Raw genomic sequence first — 22,997 nt, forward strand, 5'->3', positions numbered from 1 at the left:
GGAAGAAGGCTAGTCTGACTCACGCTGTATCTAGGTGGTGGCTGTGTGGATGTTGAGGCTGCCTCCCAGACAGGCTCCCTCATTGCTGGGGTCCTCCAGTGATGAGCAGCCCTGCTGCCCAGCTGGCAACAGAAACCCCCTCTGTAATTACCTTTGGTCAGTGAAGAAAGCTACCTCACTTAAGGTGACACCCTTTCCCCAACTATCCCCAGGGGCTGCCCAATATCCATCTGGCTGTGAGGATACAAAGGTCCTGCCACCCTCTGGCCTCAATTCAGGACAAATCTGCAGGGCCATCCAAGCTCTACAGTTACCCATGGGGATCAGCTTAGACTTCTGTTGCAATGACATCTCTGTTCAATTTCCTCCGCTGACCAGTCCTGCTGCCCTCATCTTTTGCACAGGTATTGTTTCCACACTGTACTTTTCAATAAGTTCACTGCACACAGATCTCCATCTCAGAACCTTTCCCAGGGAAACTGACCTTCTCTTTACCAGACCTAGAGTGAGAAATAAAATTTACAATTGTGACCAGGCACACATATGTGTGTGTGTATATATATATATTCTCCCTATATACATAAAATAAATGTTCACAAACTAATACTAGCCATTATTATGATATACTCTGATATTTTCTATTCTAGTATTGTTATTAAAAAAAAAAAAACAACCAAACTGCCCTCCAAGACTCAATGCATTGATCTCATAACACACTAATGAGTCTTGATCCACAGACTGAAAAGCATTTATTTAGATGTGCAATCAGATTAACTATTTTGGCCAATTGTACTTTTGAAAAATGTAACTAATCAGATTTTTTTCCTCTTGATACTCAATTTGATAGGCCAATTTGGATCCAAAGGCCTAATTAGTTCTATGTGTGCGGCCACAAAGAGTGAAAAATCTCAACCATAGACCACTATTAAAGAAATGGGCCTCATTACCTTTAATCATGTGTTGTAAATCCAACTAAGACTAACAGATTGTTAACCCTTACCCAACTCAGTATATTTAGTCTTGTCATTATCTCATTATTAGTGACTGTCTGCTACCACAATGCCTAAAGAGTTAATTTTCTTAAGTTTCTCCTTACAAACCTAACTAAAATAGTTTTCTTAAGTGACCTCCTCTTTCTCTTCTGAAAGAAAGAATTTAATAGGGTTCCAGCCAAGGAAGTTTTACTAGATACAATTTGCTAGTAAATTGTATTTACTAGAAGTATTTAAAAGTCATTAAAAAATGAGAAATTTATATATGTGCCTTTTGCCTTATAAATATCATTTACAAGGGTAGATAGAAGTCGTGTCTCGTAAGGATATAGTGCTTCTGGGAGAAGGAGGCTGGTAATAGCCACAGCCAACATGCCAGGAAAGGACAGTGATAACAGAACGCTAGTGAAGACTTAGAAACTGTCCAATGTTTTCCTTTTACAGAGACAGAAACTGAAGTCCAGGCCGGGTAAGCGATTTACCTACGGCCACGTATCTGACAGGCAGCAAAGTTGGAGGAAGAACTAGAACTCCAGGTTATCTTGTCCTGATGCTCTTTCTGCATATGGCGGGGCTTCCAGCAGTGAGATTTCCTCTTTTCATAAAGAGCTTGTGCCTCATGATTTCCCAGGAGATTTATTCAAAATAAGTTCCAAGAAACAGGTGGAGTTGTTTTCTACCCAAAATATACCTACCACAGAGCCTGCTGCCAACATTAGAAATATTTTGACATCTCCAGAAGCAACTCTAATGGAGGCAGAAGACGACTCCTTATCTGTTCTCTTTTGATAAAAACAGGCAGTTCCTAAATCTATTCTCTCTTCTCGATACCCAGAAAAACTGCTAAAACCTGCTGCGCTTTATCCTTTGAAACATTAACTGAGTCCTTGGCAGTGAAAAGAATTTAGCAAGATTCCGGCATAACGTCTTGGGGAAATTATGCCTTATTTGCTCATTTTGCAGGTGTTTGAGCTAGTGTGGACTCCTCAAGTCAAGATCTTCAGCAAGTTCTTATTCTAAAAGAGCCTTATTTTAGAATTGCCCTTTCCAAATTTCTATCTGATGCTTTAACTGGCTTTGTAAGAAAATCTCTTTATCTCTTTTGGATTTCTGGAAATCCTGCCGGTTGGACGCAGAAAAGCAAACAATTTTGGTTAAGTAAATTTCAGATCTTTAACACATACTAATGTGAATGTTTGCTATTAGAACGTGTAAATATTTTATGAGAAGGATGCTTGCCTAAAATAAACATTTTAAAAAGATCGAATGAAACTTTTATTTAGAAAGTGCCTTTCTCCAAGGGGTTCAGAAATGCTTTTAAACACTTGCTTGATCTTAAATCAAGACTTTTTTTTTTTTTACCTTGAAACTATCAAAATGTATCTCTTCTGTTGTGTCTTATGTTTGAGTAGAGTTTCTGTTCAGGGAAAAGTATACATGATTTTGTTCAAAGTTCTCTAGGAATAGTTTGGGAATCTGGGAGTCTGGCCTCTGGTCCTCACTGAGCTGATGACCAGCTAGGTGACCTTAGCAAGTCAACACACCACACCACACTCTGTGTCCTAAAACGAGGAGGAGGTTGACCTCAATCCTCTGAAAGGGTGTTTCTAGTCTGGTGATAGGAGCCATCTAACTCTGAAGGCATGACAATACTTTGGGAGATATCAGTCTTTTAAATCTCTCATTGTTTATGGTTAATTGCATTAAGGAGCTATGCAATTTATTTGACAAAAATAAACCCCATTCAGAACAGAGCTCAGTTTTCAACTTCTCCTTTTTGAGTGTTTATACTTTCGATCTAAAATTCCAGTTAACTTGAATAGTCCATAGAATGTGGAGTTAACAGAAAGAAATGAGTTCAAACTCTAGTGGTTTCAGTAATGAGCTGTTTGTTGACCTTCTCAGACTCTCCATTTCCTCATTTGTAAATTGGAAATAGTAGCATTGACAGTTAAAGTTGTCATGAGCATTAAATGAGATAATATATGTAGGGCCCCTGGTATATAATAAGCATTCTAGAGATGGCAGAGGAGTCTTCGGTTTTTGTTTTTGTTTTTTTTTTTTGGATATTGACATGTCATGGGAAAACTGGAAATAATCAATTATTTCCAGAATGAGTTTAGAGGGAGAGAAGGGTGGTTAGAAAGGGTATTGAAAACATAAACTAGAAAGTATCTGAGACAAGTCTCAACCAATGCAGAAGTTTCTTTTGCCAAGGTTAAGGATGTGCCCGTGACACAGCCTCAGGAGGTCCTGATGACATGTGCTCAGGGTGGTCAGGCCGCAGCTTGGTTTTATACATTTTAGGGAGACATAAAACATCAATCAATACATGTAAGATGTACATGGGTGACGTCTGGAAAGGTGGGACAACTTGAATTGAGAGCTTCCAGGTCACTGGTGGATTCAAAGATTTTCTGATTAGCAACTGATTGAAAGAGTTTATCTAAAGACCTGGAAGCAATAGAACAGAGTCTCTGGGTTAAGATAAGGGGTTGTGGAGCCCAAGGTTCTATGCAGATGAAGCCTCCAGGTATCAGGCTTCAGAGAGAATAGATTGTAAATGTTTCCTATTAGACTTAAAAAGGTGCCAGATTCTTAGTTAGTTCTCTCCCACATCAGGGGAAAGACCCAGAAAGGGAAGGGGATTCTCTACAGAATGTAAATTTTCCCCACAAGAGATAGCTTTGCAGGGCCAATTCACAATACGTCAAATAAATATACTTTAGGGTAAAATACTTTTATTTTTTTCAAGGCCTGCTCTCTGTCAGGTGATGCTACACTAGAGTCAGGCTGGAATTTGGTGTCTTATTGCTACAAAAAGTCTTAAGATCTCTGTTTTAATGTTAATGCTAGTCAGTTGTGCCTGTATTCCAAAAGGGAGGAGGGTATAATGAAGTATGTCTGGCCCCCCAAACCCTTCACATCATGGCCTGAACTAGTTTTTCAGGTTAACTTTGGAATGCCCTTGGCCGAGAGGAGGGGTCCATTCTGATGGTTGGAGGGCTTAGAATTTTATTTCTTCAGTTTATAAGAATTACAACATTTGATATGGTTTGGCTCTGTGTCCCTACCCAAATCTCATCTTGAACTGTACTCCCATAATTCCCACATACTGTGAGAGGGACCCAGTAGGAGATAATTTGACTCATGGGGTGGGTTCCCCCATACTGTTCTCATGGTAGTGAATAAGTCTCATGAGATCTGATGGTTTTATCAGGGGTTTCCACTTTTGCATCCTTCTCATTTTCTCTTGCCACCACCATGTAAGAAGTGCCTTTTGCCTCCTGCCATGATTCTGAGGCCTCCCCAGCTATGTGAAACTGTAAGTCCAATTAAACCCCTTTTTCTTCCCAGTATTGGGTATGTCTTTATCAGCAGTGTGAAAACAGACTAATACAATATTCATTTTTAAAAGAAAGGAAATACAAAGAACCTTCTGGAAGTCAGAAGACTTCGTAAATTAAGAGAAAGATGAATTGTGTGGATCAGAATAATGCAAGTTATAACAAGATTAAATGGGACCCTACTTGATTTGGAGAATGAACTTATGAATCTTCTGTAAACTCTCAGTAAATCCACAAGCCACCAAATGTTGACATTCTATGAAATGACAAAAAGATTTGTGTGCTCCTGAGAATAACTGAGATTTTCTTTAAGTAAGTAGGAAAAAAAGATGCTGTAACATATAACATCAGATCACACTGCCAGTAAACCACAAGCTGGAATCAATGATTTCTGAACTGTAAATGCTACTCTAAATTTTGATATCAATTCCAGTTTCTTGTGACACAAAAGCCTTTGTTTTTGTGTACTTTTTGAGTAGTTTTTCTGTTTTTCTGCCATCTTCCCTCTTTTCTGGAACAGTGAAGGCTTATGATTCTTTTAGTATCATAATTATTAATGTACACTTTGGAGATGATACAAACCTCTCATTCATTTATTAGACATTTAAAGACCACCAACCATATGCCAAGCTCAGTGATGGAGAGGAGGGATAAAAATATGGGCAAGAGTTCCTGTTCTTTAGAATTCTAGAATGATCTATCACATATTCCCCAAAGACAGAAGAATCCCCTGTCCAACTATTTTGTTCCATTGGCTGAGCACTTGTGACGTGCCCAGGTACTGTGCTAAGTGTTTTCTGCATTATGTCATGTGCCCTGACAGATGCACATCTGCCTGCGCTGGAATATGACAAGGCACTTTCTAACCCAAGACCATGCTCTTCACTTGTGAACAGATGCTGTAACCAAAATCTGCATCCCTATAACTTCTGCCTAATCCCCATGGAGCCACACAGTATTGGGCTAATTCTTTTTCTGCATGTCAGCTGTTCAATTGCTGTCAGCTAGCAAGGGCCTCTATTATCATCTCCAGATTAATCATCCCTTTTTCCAGAAACTCTTGTTCACCAATACATCCCCAATACCTAGGACAATAGCTAGGATATAAGAGAAATTCAAAAACATTTTTGCTAAATATAAAATATAGCCACATACTCTACCTGTCCTACAGTTTATTAATAACCTACCCAAATGATAAAGATCAGAATTGAACACAATCTTACAGGTACAAAGTGCAAAGTACAGTGGGTCCATTTCTATCCCCTTGAACATAACCTATTGCAACAGTATCTTTTCTGGCAAAAAAGTCACTCATTCAGCTTGAGTGAAGTTAACTCATAGCCCCACAGGAACATTTTCTTCAAGCAGGCATTGCCACCCCCTCATTTGTGTAGTTAATGTGGGTTTTTGTTTGTTTGCTTGTTTAAACCCTAAGCAAAGGTCTTACTTGTATATTTTTACCTTTTTAAATTTGGTCTGATTTGTGTTCCTAGCTATTTTTGTTTAAATCTGCCATGAATTTTCTAACATGATTCCAAACTTCCCCAATGTCAAGCTTCCCACAAATCTGATTGGCAAACCCTTTCATATCTTATCTAAATAATTAACAAAATTATTGAATAAAACAGAGCCACATAGAATGACACTAGCAACCTGGCCTCCAAGTTGATACCTATACATCAATCAACTTTTGAATTCCCCTTAGACACCATCAAATGCAGACATTTTTCTCAAGGGTATTATGTAAAATGTTTTCAAATGCATTGCTCAAAGCTAGAGAGCCCAGCTCACACTGTAGTAATCCCAATTTAGAGGTAAGTATGCTGGAGGGGAGCAGCCTATATTTCAATTCATCTAATTCATTGCATAAATTTTACACTCTAAATCCTTCAGGGCTTTAACTTTTGAAACTAATTCCAGGTTCTTCTGACACATCAGCCTTTGTTTTTGTGTACATTTTGAGTAGGTTTTCTGCTTTTCTGCCATATTCTCTCTTATCTGGAACAATGAATGCTTATGATTAAATAAGAGAGAGCAATTTATTCAAGAAAGTGGACAATGAAAGGGTCCATATAAAAGAAACTCAGGTGAAGAAAACCTCAGAACACTCTCAAAATATTATCTGGCTATATGGATTTAGAAACCAATCTCCCTCACAGTTGCTTAACTTTTCTTCCTGATGCAAGAATTTCAATGCATGGGCTGAATTTATAGTAAGACTTTCTATACAAGTATGTAGTAAAGTAATTGAATAAACATGAGAGGAGCATTTTTGGGTACTGCATACCAGCTGAGGATTAACACACAGTACATGAATTAAAAATTTCAGGAACCTTGCAAGAGGAAAGATTACAGCTCTTTATAACAAAGAAAATTATTATTTCTATTATTTTCCCTGTAGATGCATTGACAAACTTAGACTTTTGGAATACGTTGTCTTTAGTTGTTCAGGCTTTACCATGTATTTGTATAGAGCAATCTATTTTTCTTGGGGAAAACCAAATGCCCATGACGTATGTTTGCTTTAGAAGATGGTTTCTTTGACTTGTTGGAATAAATCACAATCTCCTGTTTCTACTTTTGTCCTTTCACAAGGATTTCCACAATTACTTTTAAGATTTGTTTTAATATTTAAAGGGGAAATATCTATTCAAAAGGCAATTGAAATGCTATTATGTGCACTAGCCAAGGGAAATGTAAAGGTTTTACTTTTGGGGAGCTTAAAATATAATAAAGAAGCAAGGTCAATCAAAATTGGTACAATAAACATCTATACCACAACATTCTTTTGTAGACCAATTTATTTTTTTATCTACCTGGTTGTGTTATTGCAATGCTAGGTATCTCTTGTAATATAAAGATGAGTTTCTTGCTATTTTTAAATGTTGGTTGGAAAGCCCCATATCAACATTTATATTTTTCCTGAACATTCTTTTGTGATTTAGATCCTTAACTATAGTAAATCTATCAAGCTTTTTAAATATTTGAGTAACTGTATATTTTAATGAAAACTAGGATACCCAAAAGCTCAATGTTATGTGATTATTAGAGTGATTTGTTAAAAATAATAGCTCATCACAGCAATGTTTCTGACATAAATTATCTAAAAACCTTCTTGTAAGCTCAGCCTTTTCATTGCTCTTATGAATAAAATCTCACTTATTCTTGTATAGAGAAGGATGATAAATAGAAAATTATTCATTTTTAAACCATAAATACTTATTAGAACTTGTTCTCTGGTCACCTGGTGCATCTTATGTTAGTTAATATTGTGTTCCTTCAATCCTTTCTGGTGTTTTGTTAGAAGCAAAGTGACAGTCATAATTCTGCAGGCTTTGTGTTTTTTCACTGCTGAAGCAAATGAATGTGCATAACTTTGAAGAAAAAAATTAAATAAAGAAGAAAGAGCTCACTGATGTCAAATGTCTTGCTTACTGATTCCAGAGAGAAACTGGAATAAATTATTGGTTTAATAATAATGCTCAAGAACTGCCAGCTTTCTGAAAATATTAACAAAATGGCACACACTGCCAGAGTTCTTTCTCCAGTGAAAGGTAGTTAAAGACTGTAGTCCCTGAAGAATAGACTAATTTGAATTTTTCTCAGTCTAATACATTTAAAAATATATATATATATATATATATATTTCAATGGAACAACAAAAAGGAGTCCTCAGTTTATTAACAATTTCCCCAGTCCTCTTTAGCACTATCCTCATTTACAGATGAAAGATTTACTTTCAATATAGGCTTAACAGTTATTATAGTCCATGAAGAAATGACTCAGATTTTCCCTGACTTAAGCAAAGTATAGTAAAACAATTAGAAAAATACAATAAATTCTTTTATCTGGTTCAATAATAGGGATAGAATGTTCTGGTTAATCCCATAAGAGAGTTAATATTAACTTTCCTGTAGAAACCTAGTAGATTTCTAATTTTTTTTTTTTTTTTTGGCTGGAGTGCAATGGTGTGATCTGGGCTCACTGCAACCTCCACCTCCTGGGTTCAAGCAATTCTCCTGCCTCAGCCTCCCAAGTAGCTGGGATTACAGGTATCTGCCACCACACCCAGCTAATTTTTGTATTTTTAGTAGAGACAGAGTTTCACTATGTTGGCCAGGCTGGTCTCGAACTCCTGACCTCAAGTGATCCTCCCGCCTCAGCCTCCCAAAGTGCTGGGATTACAGGCATGAGCCACCATGCCCAGCCTAGATTTCTAATTTTTAAAAGAAATTTTACTATGTCAAAATCCCCATAGCACTACAATGGCTGCTTTAGGACATACCTTAAGATTTTACTGCACCTCAGAGACATCATTATGTCACTGAAATGCAGATAAACTCACTCTTTTACACTACAAATGTTGCTTCAGTACCTACCTATTGGGTGTCAGTCAAGCTGCATGTTAGGGAACAATGATGCCTTCCATAGGGGACCATGTCTTGTCTGAGAGGAGAAGACAGGCATAAAAACATACACTTCTAGTAATATGGAAAAAATGGTGGCTTAGTTTGGGCTTCCCCCAAAGCAGGCCCTCTTACAAAGACATGGGTGCAGGTAGTTTACTTGGAAGTGGACCCTAGGAACACAAATGAGTAGGTGACCTCGTGGGCTGCTGGGATTCAATGCCACCGAGGTCTTGTGAGGAACCACGTACAGTGTATTCAGAATCATCCTGCTAGAAATGGGAAAGCAGAGGTCTCCATCACCCTCCTCCTCACTGGTTGAAGGTTGTCCCTGGAACTTCTGGGCTGTCTGGCCCATAAAAAGCCCTTAGGCAGAGAAGCAGAGAGATGCAGGCTCTTGAGGTGGGGAGCCATGGGCACACAGGGGAGACACCCACCACAGCTTCCCGTGAACTCTACAGTGGCCAAGGAGCATGGGTATGACATCAGCAGCCTCTGCCACAGATGGTGATTTAGAGTCCACCATTGTAGAATGGGACCCAGAAGAGGAAAGAATCAGTTCTACCTGGAAGTCAACATTTCAGAGGACAATAGATGCCTGAGATGACTGAGTATTCTCCAGAACAGGGGTCCCCAGTCCCCAGGCTGTGAACTGGTACTGGGTCATGGCATTTTAGCAACTGGTCGCACAGCAGGAGGTGAGTGGTGGGTGAGTGAGCATGACCACTTGAGCTCTGCCTCCCATCAGATCAGTGGTAGCATTAGATTCTCATAGGACCACAAACCCTATTGTGAACTGTGCATGCAAAGGATCTAGGTAGGTTGTGCGCTTTTTATGAGAATCTAATGCCTGATGATCTGAGGTGGGACAGTTTCATCCAAAATGATCTCCCGTCTGTGGAAAAATTGTCTTCCACGGAACCAGTCCCTGGTGCCAAAAAGGTTGTGGATCACTGCTCTACAAAATACAAGGAGTGAAGGTGGAAGACTGCTACTTAATTGCAAATACATTCAAGTAGAATATCAGACCACAGATAGTTCAGTGAGTCCTACCTTTGCATCAGCTGTGATCAGATTCACTGTTTAAACATACATGTTTATATATATGCTTTTATTTTATTTTATATGCTTTTATTTTATATTATATAAATATAAATATATATTTATAAATATATTTATATATACATATGCTTTTGCTTAGGTAGGTACAGGTTTCAACGTGCCCTGTTTTCAGAGCTAATGTAGATGTTCCAAGCTGTTGACAGTAAAACAGACAAGCAGTTTCTTACAAGAAATATGAAAACAATTACTTTATTCTACCCTTGACTCTGACCAGCAGATGTAAAGGTGGCATTAGACAGACTACAGGTTGACTGCTTGGAAATCTACAGGTAATAGGACTTCAGGAGAGAAATTTGAGCTCCAGGAGAACAGAGAAGGGCAGGGTCAGGTCTGGTCTCATAGAAATGAGAAGCTAGATCCAGTTCAAGGCAGACAATAGGATGCATAGAGTGGAGAGTAGAGACTGAGAACACAGTTCTGGAAACTGAGGTACACATAAAGATTAAGAAACAAAACAAGACCCCACTGACAAAAACTGAGCACCAAGTCAAAATAAGTGCAGCAGCAAGAGTGATAGATTCAGAGCCCCTAAGCTATGAAATTTCAGTTTCTTCATTTTGTTAAAAATGAAGTCAGTAGCTTGGGGACATTTACGTGCATAAGAATAACCTTGCAGGCTTGTTTTAAATATTTAAAGGTAAGTCCTCACCATACCTTACCCATATGTTATGCTTCCGTAGGTTTAGAGTGAAGTCTGGGAATCAGCATTTTTAATAAGGGTCCTAAGTGCCTCAGATGCAGGTTGCTTATGGATTTGGTTAGGAAGCAGTGAATTAAGTTAAGGTTAATTTCAAAGTCTGAGAACGGAGTGAGCTTCAACTGGTCCCAACAATGCAAAAAGTAGGGTGATCAACTCATTCTAATTTACCCAGAACTTTCTCAATGTTAGCATGGACAGTCCCATGTTCCAGGAAACCATTCAGTCCCAGATATACTGGAACAATCGGCCACCCTAGCATAATGGACATGCTGTTGTGTCAGGAGCTCACAGAAGACCTAAGCTTCATCACCTCAACCTCATGCATTCCGCTAGGCTTCGTATTGCACCAGCCTTCCTCCACAGACAAACACTTCAACTGACTCCTTTCATGATTCAAATCTGTGATACATGCTGAGATCGGACCTGATGCTTAAAAACTCATGAGGCCCTGAGTTGAAGATCCTGCTCCCAGAGGTTACATATCTACCTCCAATTTCCCTACCCTCATACCTGGAAAGAAAGTATTCCAGTAAATAAAAGGAAACAAAAGAAAAAATGGGTGTGGCAGGGGGGTGCACACTGGCTATGGCAGCTCATGCCTGTAATTCTAGCATTTTGGGAGGCTGAGAAGTGGGAGGATCACTTGAGCCCAGGAGCTCCAGAGTGCAGATAGCCATGATCGCACCACCGCACTCCAGCTTAAGTGACAAAGTAAGACCTTGTCCAAAAAAAAAGTCAAACAAAAGACTACCATTTGGACAACTGTCTATATAAGAATCCTAACATAATGCACAAGACTGACCCTGGGGCCCCATGCCTGAGTTTGTATCTACAGCTAATGAGATGTGTGACCTTGGACAAGTTACCTCCACTCTAAGTGCCTTTGTTTCCTCATCTGTAAGGTGAAAATAATAACAATATTAATAATCATAATATTGTCTACTTCATAGGATGAAATTAGTCAAGACATGTAGTTTTCTTTGGACAGTGCCTGACACACAGTAATCACTCTGTAAGTGCAGTTCTTATTAAAATCCTAATGTTTAAGGTAACTCTGAACCACTCGCAATTACTTGTGTGAATAACATCAGTCTTTCCGCACCCAAGCAAATTAAGTTGTAACATTCAAAGTCATTTTAAACAAGCAGTTTATTTTCCTATCATTGAAAATATCATGTGGAAAAATCCACGCTGTAGTTTTAGCCTTTTGGTGATGCTGGTGGAAGGAAGGATGAATCAGCTGCACTCAAGATGTCTATTAGCGCCCCAGCCGAGCTAGAGTCTCCAGGACACTCCCAAGCACAGGAAGGAGGCTTGGAAACACTTCAAAGCCTGCCGACACGCAGATTGCTTCTGGTTGCCAGTGGATTAGTATTGGTGATATATCCTTAGCCACACACTTCACCTCCATATGTCTCAGCCCTCTTCACCTTTCCCTCTGACTGTGACAATGAGAATATTGAAATCAATAAGTTCACCCTCCTTGCTCCACAGACTCATGTGCTTTGAAATGAAAAATGGCTCAGGCAGAAGAAGCCAAGACAGGCTCGGAGGACATAGATGGAGTTAGAATTGGCAGGATCTGCAGTCTAGGATAGGGGTACAGACGACAGCAGGCTGGGAGTGAGAATACTTGGGGTCTCCCTCCATTTGGTCACTACTCAATAGTGGGGATAGGTCATTTTAATTCAACGGACCCTGCAGTATCTCCTCTGTAAAATAAAGGCATTGGGCCAGATAAATATCTATCATCCCTTCTAGTTCTAAAAATCCTGATAATATTTTACAATAAAATGTCAGCCAGCTAGCTTTAGCCTTATTCCTCTCTTCCATAAGCACCTCCCTCTTTGTTATCGGTTACAATGCATTCTTCTAATGCCCATTTTCAGTTTGAAACAACCTAATCACACATTAAGTCCCTTAATGGCACAGACTTTGTTTTAATCTCATTTTGTCTTCAGTGCTTAGAACTATGCCTGACAAGGAGAGATTTTCAAGAGGTGTTTCCAGAATTGAACCCATGCATCATCCATCTCTTCGCTTGTGTTATTAGTCAGAGGCCCAGCAAGAAACAGATAGTCCATGCACACAGGGCAATTGAGGTGAGTTTACCAAAGGGACTATTGACAAGATCTAAGCAGCATTAGGGTGAATCCACCATCAAGGGGTGGTGAAGCACCCCAAAGCTAGCAATGGCAATAATTACTACCCCTGGTAGCCCTGACAGGGTGAGGGGAAGACAACTGTTACAGGAACTCTGAGAAAGTCATGGAAGCTGTAGGTGCTAAGAGCGCACTGCCTGACCTTCTTTAGAAGAAACCAGCTGACCTGTATCTCGGAAGGGAAGGACTTCCTGGCCACATACCTCCTCCCCAACCTCTCTCTCCCCTCGTCTTTCCTTCAAGCCCTTCCCTCTCTTGCCAGCGCCTCCATTGGCTGAACACAATGGGAAGTGAGAAAGCATGGCCAAGTGTCCAGGCAGTCCATGAAGGGCATGGAGTGGGGTGGAGAGCCTACCCGGGGAGAAGGTGAACAGAGAATATCCAGCACACTCAGCTCCCAGCACCACTGCCTCCTCCTTTGAAAAGTCCGGTGAGGTCAGGCGTGGTGGCTCACTCCTGTAATCTCAACACATTGGGAGTCCAAGGTGGGAGGATTGCTTCAGCCCAGGAGTTCGAGACCAGCTTAGGCAATCTAGTGGATCCCCGTCTCTACAAAAATATTGAAAAATTAGCCAGGCATGGTGGTGCACACCTGTAGTCTCAGCTACTCAAGAGGTTGAGGTGAGAGGATTGCCTGCACCTGGGAGTTTGAGGCTGCAGTGACCTATGATCATGCCACTGCACTCCAGCCCAGGCAACAGAGCAGGACCCTATAAAAAAAAATAATAAAAAAAAGAAAGAAAAAAGAAAAGTCCCCTGAATAACTCTATTTATTCACGTAACATTTATTCAGCAAATGTGTACATTTTGCTCTGTGTATACACAGTGCTTTATAAGTGTTGCCTACTTTCTAGCTAGCATACATTTTTCTTTAACCAACCAGACTGTAAGCTTCATAGAGGCAGGGATGATGTCTTCTATCTTCAGACCCATCTCTAATGCATTCTTGCTGTATATATAGCACTCAGTATTTGCAACTTGAATGACCACCTTTATTAAAAAAAAGAAGTTTTGGTTGTTGTTGTTTTTTTTTGAGACAGAGTCTCACTCTGTAGACCAGGCTGGAGTGCAGTGGTGCGATCTCGGCTCTCTGCAAGCTCCACCTCCTGGGTTCACACTATTCTCCTGCTTCAGCCTCCCAAGTAGCTGGGACTACAGGTGTCTGCCACCACGCCTGGCTAATTTTTTTTTTTTTTTTTTTTTTTTTGTATTTTTAGTAGAGACAGGGTTTCACCATTGCCAGGATGGTCTCAATCTCCTGACCTTGTGATCCACCCACCTCAGCCTCCCAAAGTACTGGGATTACAGGCATGAGCCACTGTGCCCAGCCAAAAAAAACCAAGTTTTTAAAACAAATTATACAACTGGTTATCCTTAGCATACTATCCAATTTCTAAATCTCTAGGAAGAGCCAACTCAAATGTACAGCGTGGCTCATTGCCTTGTAGAGTGTTTCTGTTGAGTGGCGATCATGGTGGCAAAGTGTGAGTCTTCCCCCTTAGGAAGACTGGCTTTGGAATTCATTGCATAGTAGTGCATAGTAGTTCCTGGAACCCATTCATTCAACATGCCTTTATTCATATTCAGTAGGAGTAAAGTGCTGTGCAAGGTACTGTGAGAAATCAAAGGTTAATTTGCCTTAGATTCTGTCCTGGGAATTAGAGTACAGTGGGAGACAGAAGGTGTTGATGTAATTAGGTGGAAAGAAGGAAAAGCAATCCCAAGACAAAAAGAGATGAAATGCTGGGAAAGTTCTGAGTGATAGCAATGATTTTGATGGAGAAATTTAGAATAGGCTTCATTTTGACCAGGCACAGTGATTCACACCTGTAATCCCAGCACTTTGGGAGGCTGAGGCAGACGGATCACGAGGTCAGGAGTTCAAGTCCAGCCTGGCCAATATGGTGAAACCCCATCTCTACTGAAAATACAAAAATTAGCTGGGTGTGGTGTTACATGCCTGTAGTCCTAGCTACTTGGGAGACTGAGGCAGAAGAATTGCTTGAACCCGGGAGCTGGTTGCAGTGAGCCGAGATGGTGCCACTGCACTCCAGCCTGGGTGACAGAGGGACACTCCATCTCAAAAAAAAAAAAAAAAAAAAAAAGAATAGGCTTCATTTTGGTTAGATCTTGGAGACCATGCATTCTTTGGTCATGAAGAGATAAAAGAAGGAATATGCTACACACACGTGACTGGAAGCTTTCAGGGAAAAACAACTCTTCGTTTCCCTGAAAGTTCAAACAAGGTGCCGCATGGGTCTCTGATTAGAAAAACACGTGCTGGAATCAGATATGGAGGCCCTGAATGGCAGGCTCAGTCTGAATCACCTTTCTGCTGGCAGTAGGGAGCCCGTGAAGGATTTTGAGTCAATGATGAGAAATGGAACTTCAAGGAAAAATAATAGCAGGAGACAATGCACTGAGGGCTTTCTGTGCAGGCACAGTTCTTCATACTGATCCCCAATGGGGAGTATGCTATCACTGATATTGTTTAGAATTTCAGCTGCAGGATGATAATAAAAAGCATCCAGATGATTCGTTGGTTTCATTATTCTTCCTAAATTCTCTATGAACAATGCATGTCCTGCCTTGGCTGCAGCTTCTTGCCTGTATCTGGGGCAAACCACTATACACGTATCAACTTATTTAACCTTCAAAACATCCCTGTGAGGTAGATACCATTATTATTGTCAGAGAAGCACAAAGAGATAAAGTGATTTTCTCGAGATAAGAAAGCTGGTAAATGGCAGAGCCAGAATTTGAATGTGGGCCGTGTGACTCCTAATAGCTACTCCCACTGGCCTGGCAGGAAGATTATAACTTCCTTGAAATCAGGGGTTATGCCTATTAAACTTAGCTCCGTGCTACCCCTTGGTAAATAGGAACTTAAAAAGTAGTTATTCTTTGGTGGTTCCAGGCCTGAAAAATGATCAGTTTTCTACCCACACACAATCATAAGCAGTTATACCCTGATTTTGTTGATTCTATTTTGAGTTCCAGTAGACATAAATCAGGGTGTTTACTAAGAATCCAGGTGTATTTGACAGAAAGCAAATAACTACAATCGTCTAGTCAGGCATGTGGAGATAAGTGCCATGCCAGCCACTGTATGGGCAGGTCAGATAGTTAACATTCTCAGTGGTTAAATGAAATCATTTCCTGCATTCTGACTTGACCAGCTATTTGCAGCATTTCTTTTCAAGTGGTCCAGGTGCTATTGTTCAAAAATGATTGTTCTTATTATTAAACCCTTTAAGTATTCTAAATGCCAAGGGTGAAAGCTCCTTGTCACATTATGTTTCAAGCGTGATTAGGCATTAAAAGAAAATTTCATATTATCAGTTATTATTCAACACTGACATTGCACCTTGGATAAGAAAGCTCTCTGATTCATGGATTCAGTGATCACAGTTTCAATGTGTGATGCTTCCTGATTCTAGGTGCTCTTCCAGCCTCTCCCTTTGTATTAGTTTTCACACTGTTATAAAGACATATCTGAGACTGGGTAATTTATAAAGGAAAGAGGTTTAATTGACTCACAGTTCCACATGGCTGCGGAGGCCTCAGGAAATTTACAATCATGGCAGAAGGCAAAGGAGAAGCAAGCTAAGACCTTCCCTCACATGGCGGCAGGAGAGAGAGTATGAGGATTGAAGCGGGAAGAGCCCCTTATAAAATCATCAGATCTAGCGAGAACTCACTCACTACCACGAGATGAGAACAGCGTGTAGGAAACTGCCCCCATAATCCAATCACTTCCCACCAGTCTCTCCCTAACCACCTGGGAATTACAATTCAAGATGAGATTTGGGTAGGGATACAAAGCCTAACCATATTACCCTCCCATCATGCCTTCCTCCTGCCTCACCTCCCTCTGCTTAATCCACTTGTTCCCCTCTTTACCACCACCTCCTCCTCCATCACCACCACTGCCACAGTGCCCAATGGGGACTGCTGGTGCAGCTACTGAAGCTGGCACATGCAGGAGGCCCTGGGCTTGGCTCAAACACCTACAAGTTAAAAGTAATAGTAATAATAATAGCAACAATAACAACTGCTAACACCATTTGGTGCTTACCACTTTACATGCACAGTTTCATTTAATCTTCAAAACAACACTAGGCAGTAGGAACTATTACTATCCCCATTTTCTATGTGAGGAAAACCTCAAAGGGGTTCAGTGAAATAATCAAGATGGTACAGTTCATCAACAGCAGTGTCTAGACTGTCTGGGAGGCTGCGTGGCTTCAGAGAGCACGCTCTTAGCCCCTGCACGACACAAAGGGTTTCTACATTACTACAACCAGAGGAAATGAAACAGCAGGGGAAAGAGAGAGAGTCTGAAAGGGGGAGATGTCTGAAGTAATTTCTGGAAGAAGCAAAAGTCCTAGGATAGTTTTCTCTTTGGGTGGGTACTTTGGATGGGAAAGGAATTTCATCTCACGGGACAGAGGAGCATTTGCAAAATTCTATGAATCCCTACTGGGTCGTCTCCATGGCTGTGACTGGATGACACTGTTACCACATTTTTCTGCTAAAAAAAAAAAAAAAAAAGGATCCTAGGAAAATCAAATTACTATCTCCAAAATATGAGAATCCCAGACCTCTGACTCTCCCCAGTGAGACTTTGGTCTATTTAAACACACACAAAACTCTCCTGCCTTGCATTAGCAAAGGAAAGTTTAGAAAAACAAAATTAGATTTTACCTGCAGTGTGTTAAATGAAACCCTCCAAATTATGCCCATTTTTAAAGGTAATTGAATGTTAAGTTTTTTACTTATTTAAGAGCAATTCCATTCCACCCACTTTGCCTATTAGCATATCAGAGGTTCACACGCACACTAATAATGTCAGCGGTGCTTCACCTGCTCCATTCCTCGCCTAGTCCATGTCTTTTTAAACAGAGAAAAAGATCAAAAGAACAGTAAATTGCCCTGCACGGCAACCAAATCTGAAGATACATTATAATGACAAACTTTTCTTCAATCCAAAATGAACATGCTTCGTTTCTTCATTTCCCTCTTGGTTTATATCATGTTAATCTCTTTTGATAAATTCAGACCAGTCTGGATCCAAATAATACAGAACATGTCCAGAGTGTCCCTGGGGTTTTCTTTCACCTCTTCCAGTTCTGCCATCAGGTGCTCAGATCGCCTGGTGCAGGGGAGAGAGATGAAGCCATAGGAAATCTACTTAATCAGTAAGAGCACTTGTGAAATAATCACTCCCCTAATTAAGCAAAGCGGCAGATAGACATTTTCATCCATGATCATCCTGAACAGTTCTTAAAGGCTGCTTGGAACGTGTTCTTAGGGGCTTGGAACAGTTCTTACAGGCTGCTTAGAGGCTGCTTGATATGGGAAACGTTGATCAATCAGTGGTTTGTCTCTGAATCTGGTACATGCAGAAGGCCCTGTACTTGGCTCAAACCCCTACACATTAAAAATAATAATAATAATAGCAACGATAACAACTGCTAATACCCATTTGGTGCTTACCACTTTATATGCACAGTTTCATTTAATTTTCAGAACAACTCTAGGCACTAGGAACTATTACTATCCCCATTTTCTATGTGAGGAAATGGGGCTCAAAGGGGTTCATTTGGGAACGCTGATCAATCAGTGGTGTCTTCTGTATATGGATGTGGAAGGGAGGGGCAGAGATGCAGTTTGGGGACTGGTATAATATGTCGGATAAGATGATAATGCCACCAACCTTGGGTAACTTCTGCTGTACTAAGGCTGGGTTTTCCATAAGATGCTCTCATTATTTCCTCCCAAGATTTCTGTATATACATTTTCTGTCCAGTAGGCAGAGTAACGGATACAGTTTGTAATTTTTTAAAGAGTGCTATACTAACTTCTGTATATCTACCCAATGAATCCCTTTATTACCACCCCCAAGGCCATCACCATACTACAAGGCACCCTCACTTGCACTTAACACAACCATCACCTTCCCAGCCTCCATGAACCAACTCTTAAGCCCTACCATGCCTCTCCTCACAATTGACAAAGGAACCGTTTTAAAATAAAAACCTGGTCAAGTTCTTTCGGACACCCTCTTACTCACATAACCCACAGTCCCCCATGGAATCATTCTCTCTCACTACAATGAGTAATCAACCCACTGGTTCAACTATAGATGTATTCCTGGTGGCCTCTGCCTGTAGAGAAGTTGATTCCAATATGCACAGATCTATTTGTTTATTTCTAAAATCTGTGTGATAGCATTCCATTGTATGAATGTACCATATTTTATTTAACTGGATATCTGTTAATAGATAGTGTGATGTCTCTAATGATAGTGCAATGAATACCTGTATTAGCTCTTGCACTGCTAGAAAGAAATACCTGAGACTGGGTCATTTATAAGGAAAGAGGTTTAACTGGCTCATGGCTCTGCACACTGTACAGGAAGCATAGCAGCTTTTCTGGGGAGGCCTCAGGAAACTTTCAGACATGGCAGAAAGCAAAGGGGAAGCAGGCACATCTTACATGGCTGGAGCAGGAGGAAGAGAGAGAGTTGGGAGGTGCCACACACTTTTAAACAACCAGATCTCATGAGAACTCTATTACGAGAACAGCACCAAAGTGATGGTGCTAAACCATTCATGAAGGATCCACCCCCCATGATCCAATCACCAGGCACCACTTCCAACATTGGGGATTACAATTGAACATGAGATTTGGGTGGGGACAGAGATCCAAACCGTATCAATACCCTTCTATTCATACTTGTATACAATTGTCTAGTTATTCCCTGGGATACACTCCAAATAATATAATGGCTGAGTCAAAGATTATGCTTATTTTCATTTCATTTTAAACTAGTTTTTTATACTGTAAATGTAATATATAATTTTGGCAAAAAGTAATATATTAAAAGTTCAGATGACTATAAAGTTACCAACAAAAGCCCTCTTTTTCTACTCCATTTCCAGGGTCATTCCTTAGAGACAACCATGCATATCCTTCCATAATGTTTGCCCAAAGAAAAAATAAATGTAATTGCTGTTTTTATATACACACACATATAAAAATACACATGCATAAATATGGCTATATATAGTCCATTTTTTGAAAAAGGTTATAATATATGTTATACTTACATTCAATTTTGATTCATTGCAAAATTATCTACAGTCGCATTTACACTCCTACCAACAGTATATGAGAATGTCTACTTTTCAGCATCTAAACTTAAGATGTAGAATATGAGGAAGAAAACATAAAGGCTAAAGTATCTTAGTTTTGGTTTTCTTACTTTTAAAAGTCAGCTAACAATATTTTGCAAGCCTTTTTGTGAACATTGAATGAGATGATATAGAGATAGAAATTTCATACATTTAGCCTGGCCCACAAAATATGTATGAATAAATGATAATAGTTCATATTGTTATTGCTATCATCATTTGGTTTATCTGACACATCAAATTACTTTTATATAGTGGTCCTAGTTCTATCTTTTAATGGTAAGAAAATAAATTTAGCTTTTCTAACCTTAAGACCTGGAGTTACTATCTTTAATAATAAGGGGCTAGGAAATTTAAGTGATGTGAGTCGAGCAGGCTACAGTCTCTAGGGAAAAAAATATGTATCTTCTATACTATCTTGCTAATCAGTCATCTGACTACAATTTTCTATTGATTCTTCCCTTGGAGAATTTGAGAATATTCTAACAGAACTTTGACACAGGCACTTGAGAAATTTCTGCAGATTATATCTTAAAGAGCAATAATGCAATTTTGGTGAAAAATAAAGAGGCAGCCCAGTGGAGGCGCGGAAGGATGAACAGATAGATTTCGTGGGCCCATTTCCCTATTACAGAAAGAGATATTTATTGCCTGCAGCACAGCTGAGGGACTGCATTTGGAAATGCCATAGAAAGTAGTCTGTAGCTGAGGTCCTGGGGCTCAGCCCAGGATAAGGCATTTGGCAGGTTCAGCCCCAGAATGGCAGGAAGCCTGCTTTCCAAACAGCAGCTGCAAAAAGAGACTGAGTTTGTTAAAACTTATTTGGCCTTATTCTCATCTCCCACTGCACCCCTTCGGCACTCTCCCAGGCACAGTGCTGTCTTTGTAATCCAAGACAGGGGAGCGGGGGAGGGAAAGAAAGGAGGGGAAAGAGGGAAGGAGAGGGGCAAAGGGAGGAAGGAGAGGGAGGGAGAAGGATGAGGGGGAAAGAAATGAAGGGGGTTGGGGGAGGGGGAGAGAGAGAGAGAGAGTAATAGGAGATCCCTAAAGAAAAGACTGGAATTCACTTATTGACAATAAGAACCATGCTCAAAGTAATGCTGACAAAGGGATCTTTTCCACAAAGGAAACCTGAGGCTTTTCTGCATTCAGGCCTTTACTCTGAATCTACGGATGCATTGATATTGGTATCATTACTATCATCATTATTTCCTTCATCCAAGCTCTTGGTATCTATTCTTTAACTTGAATAATAAAAAATAAATTTTTTAAATAATAACTTTCCATGTTTTAGAGGAACCGGCAGAGAAATAGTAAATAACTATCCTAATATTACCCTGGATGTAGATGACCAAGGGGATATTGGGAAACAGACTCCCAGTGTTACCAGACAGGGGTCCCCATCCAGACACCAAGAGAGGGTTCTTAGATTTTGTGCAAGAAATAATTTAGGGTCAGTCCACAGAGTAAAATTAAAGCAAGTGTATTAAGAAAGTAAAGGAATAAAATAATGGCTACTCCCTAGACAGAACAGACACGAGGGCTGCTGGTTGCCTATTTTTATGGTTATTTCTTGATTATATGCTAATCAAAGGATGGATTATTCATGCTCCCCCTTTTTAGACCATATAGGGTAACTTCCTAACATTATGATGGCATTTGTAAACTGTCATGGCGCTGGTGGAAGCATAGCAGTGAGGACGACCAGAGGTCACTCTTGTGGCCATCTTAATTTTGGTAGGTTTTAGCTGGCTTCTTTAATACAATCTGTTTTATCAGCAAGGTCTTTATGACCTGTATCTTGTGCTGACCTCCTATCTCATCCTGTGACTTACAATGCCTAACCATCTGGGAATGCAGCCCAGTAGGTCCCAGCCTTATTTTACCCAGCTCCTATTCAAGATGCAGTTGCTCTGATTCAAATGCCTCTGACACCAGGATCCCAACCCAGTGCTCCCTCTCCGAGGCCAGGCTTCTAAGGATATATCTCTGTTTTCTCATTCACTTGCTAGGTTCATCATACCATTATGGATGTCATCCAGGAACAGCTGATGACAGGAACAGCTCAATAAACCAGAGCCCGGGTTCCATGAACATGTTGTCTGGGTGTAAGTGTGGGCTTTATCATATATCAGCTGTGTGACTATAAGAAAGATCCTGACCTCTCTGTGCCAATATCCCAATATCCAAAATGGGAATGGTCATCATGCCTACCTAGTAGGGTTATTAAAAGAATTAAGCAACATAATGCTCATGAAGCACTTAGCATAGTGCCTGACATACAGCAAGGACCTAATAAATGCTGGGGGAGATGTAGTATTTAGATACTAGTGAATCAGTATCAGATTATATAGACAAGATTTTCCAGTTACATAGCAGACCTTGAAAAAATATTCTCATGATCTCCACTTGATTTTTTACAAACAAACAAAAACAAACAAACAAACAAACAAAAAAACAATTGAAATTGTCTAGAGCTAAAGAGGACAGTTTTTCCAATGGAACATAGGCAGAGGGCAAACTTTGGTCTTTATTTAGCTGAAGTTGTCAAATATCCAAAGATTAGGTGTTGGAGGTGCCCTGAATTCACTTCATGAGGGCAATCCCAAGAGTCACTCGATGTCACAGAGTAAAAACAGCCCATCACATTAGCAGTTCTTTATCTTTGGGGAGAAATTTCTCTCTTCAAGGTTCTGATGAAAGCTAGGGAGAAAAATGCAGTAACGTGCAAAATTCTGCATCCAATTTTAAGAATTAAGCTCTTACTTAATGCCAAGCATGCTTTGGCAGATGAAGAAAAGATAAAAGATGTATTAGGCAAAAGCAGCTTTGCTTTTCTGCATTTAAATTCTGCAGTGAAGTGGAGTTTTGATCCCAGTTATTCTCCCTGCTGACTTGCTGCTTCAGAGTGTGGGCATCACCTCTAACCTATTTAAACGGGAAGGGTGCACATGAGTATTAGGTCAGAAGAGGAGAAATAGGACAGAAGTGGGGGGGGAGGAGATATAACAAATGTATAGGCCAGAATCTAGAACCTTTTATTATGCCTCCTGTAACTTTCTCATGAAA

The 22,997-nt window shown here is 40.1% G+C and overlaps 1 long non-coding RNA gene across 1 annotated transcript in view; it reads right to left on the minus strand.

Moving 5' to 3' along the window:
* Window positions 1-16,236: 16,236 nt before the first annotated feature.
* Window positions 16,237-22,997, minus strand: part of LOC100130207 (uncharacterized) — a 100,062-nt gene continuing 93,301 nt past the window's right edge. The window contains exon 6 of the long non-coding RNA NR_149025.1: window positions 16,237-17,884. This is a non-coding gene — a long non-coding RNA (uncharacterized LOC100130207). The remainder of the gene's footprint in view (window positions 17,885-22,997) is intronic.

Source organism: Homo sapiens, chromosome 3 (assembly GCF_000001405.40).
Source record: "Homo sapiens chromosome 3, GRCh38.p14 Primary Assembly".
NCBI classification, from domain to species: domain Eukaryota; kingdom Metazoa; phylum Chordata; class Mammalia; order Primates; family Hominidae; genus Homo; species Homo sapiens.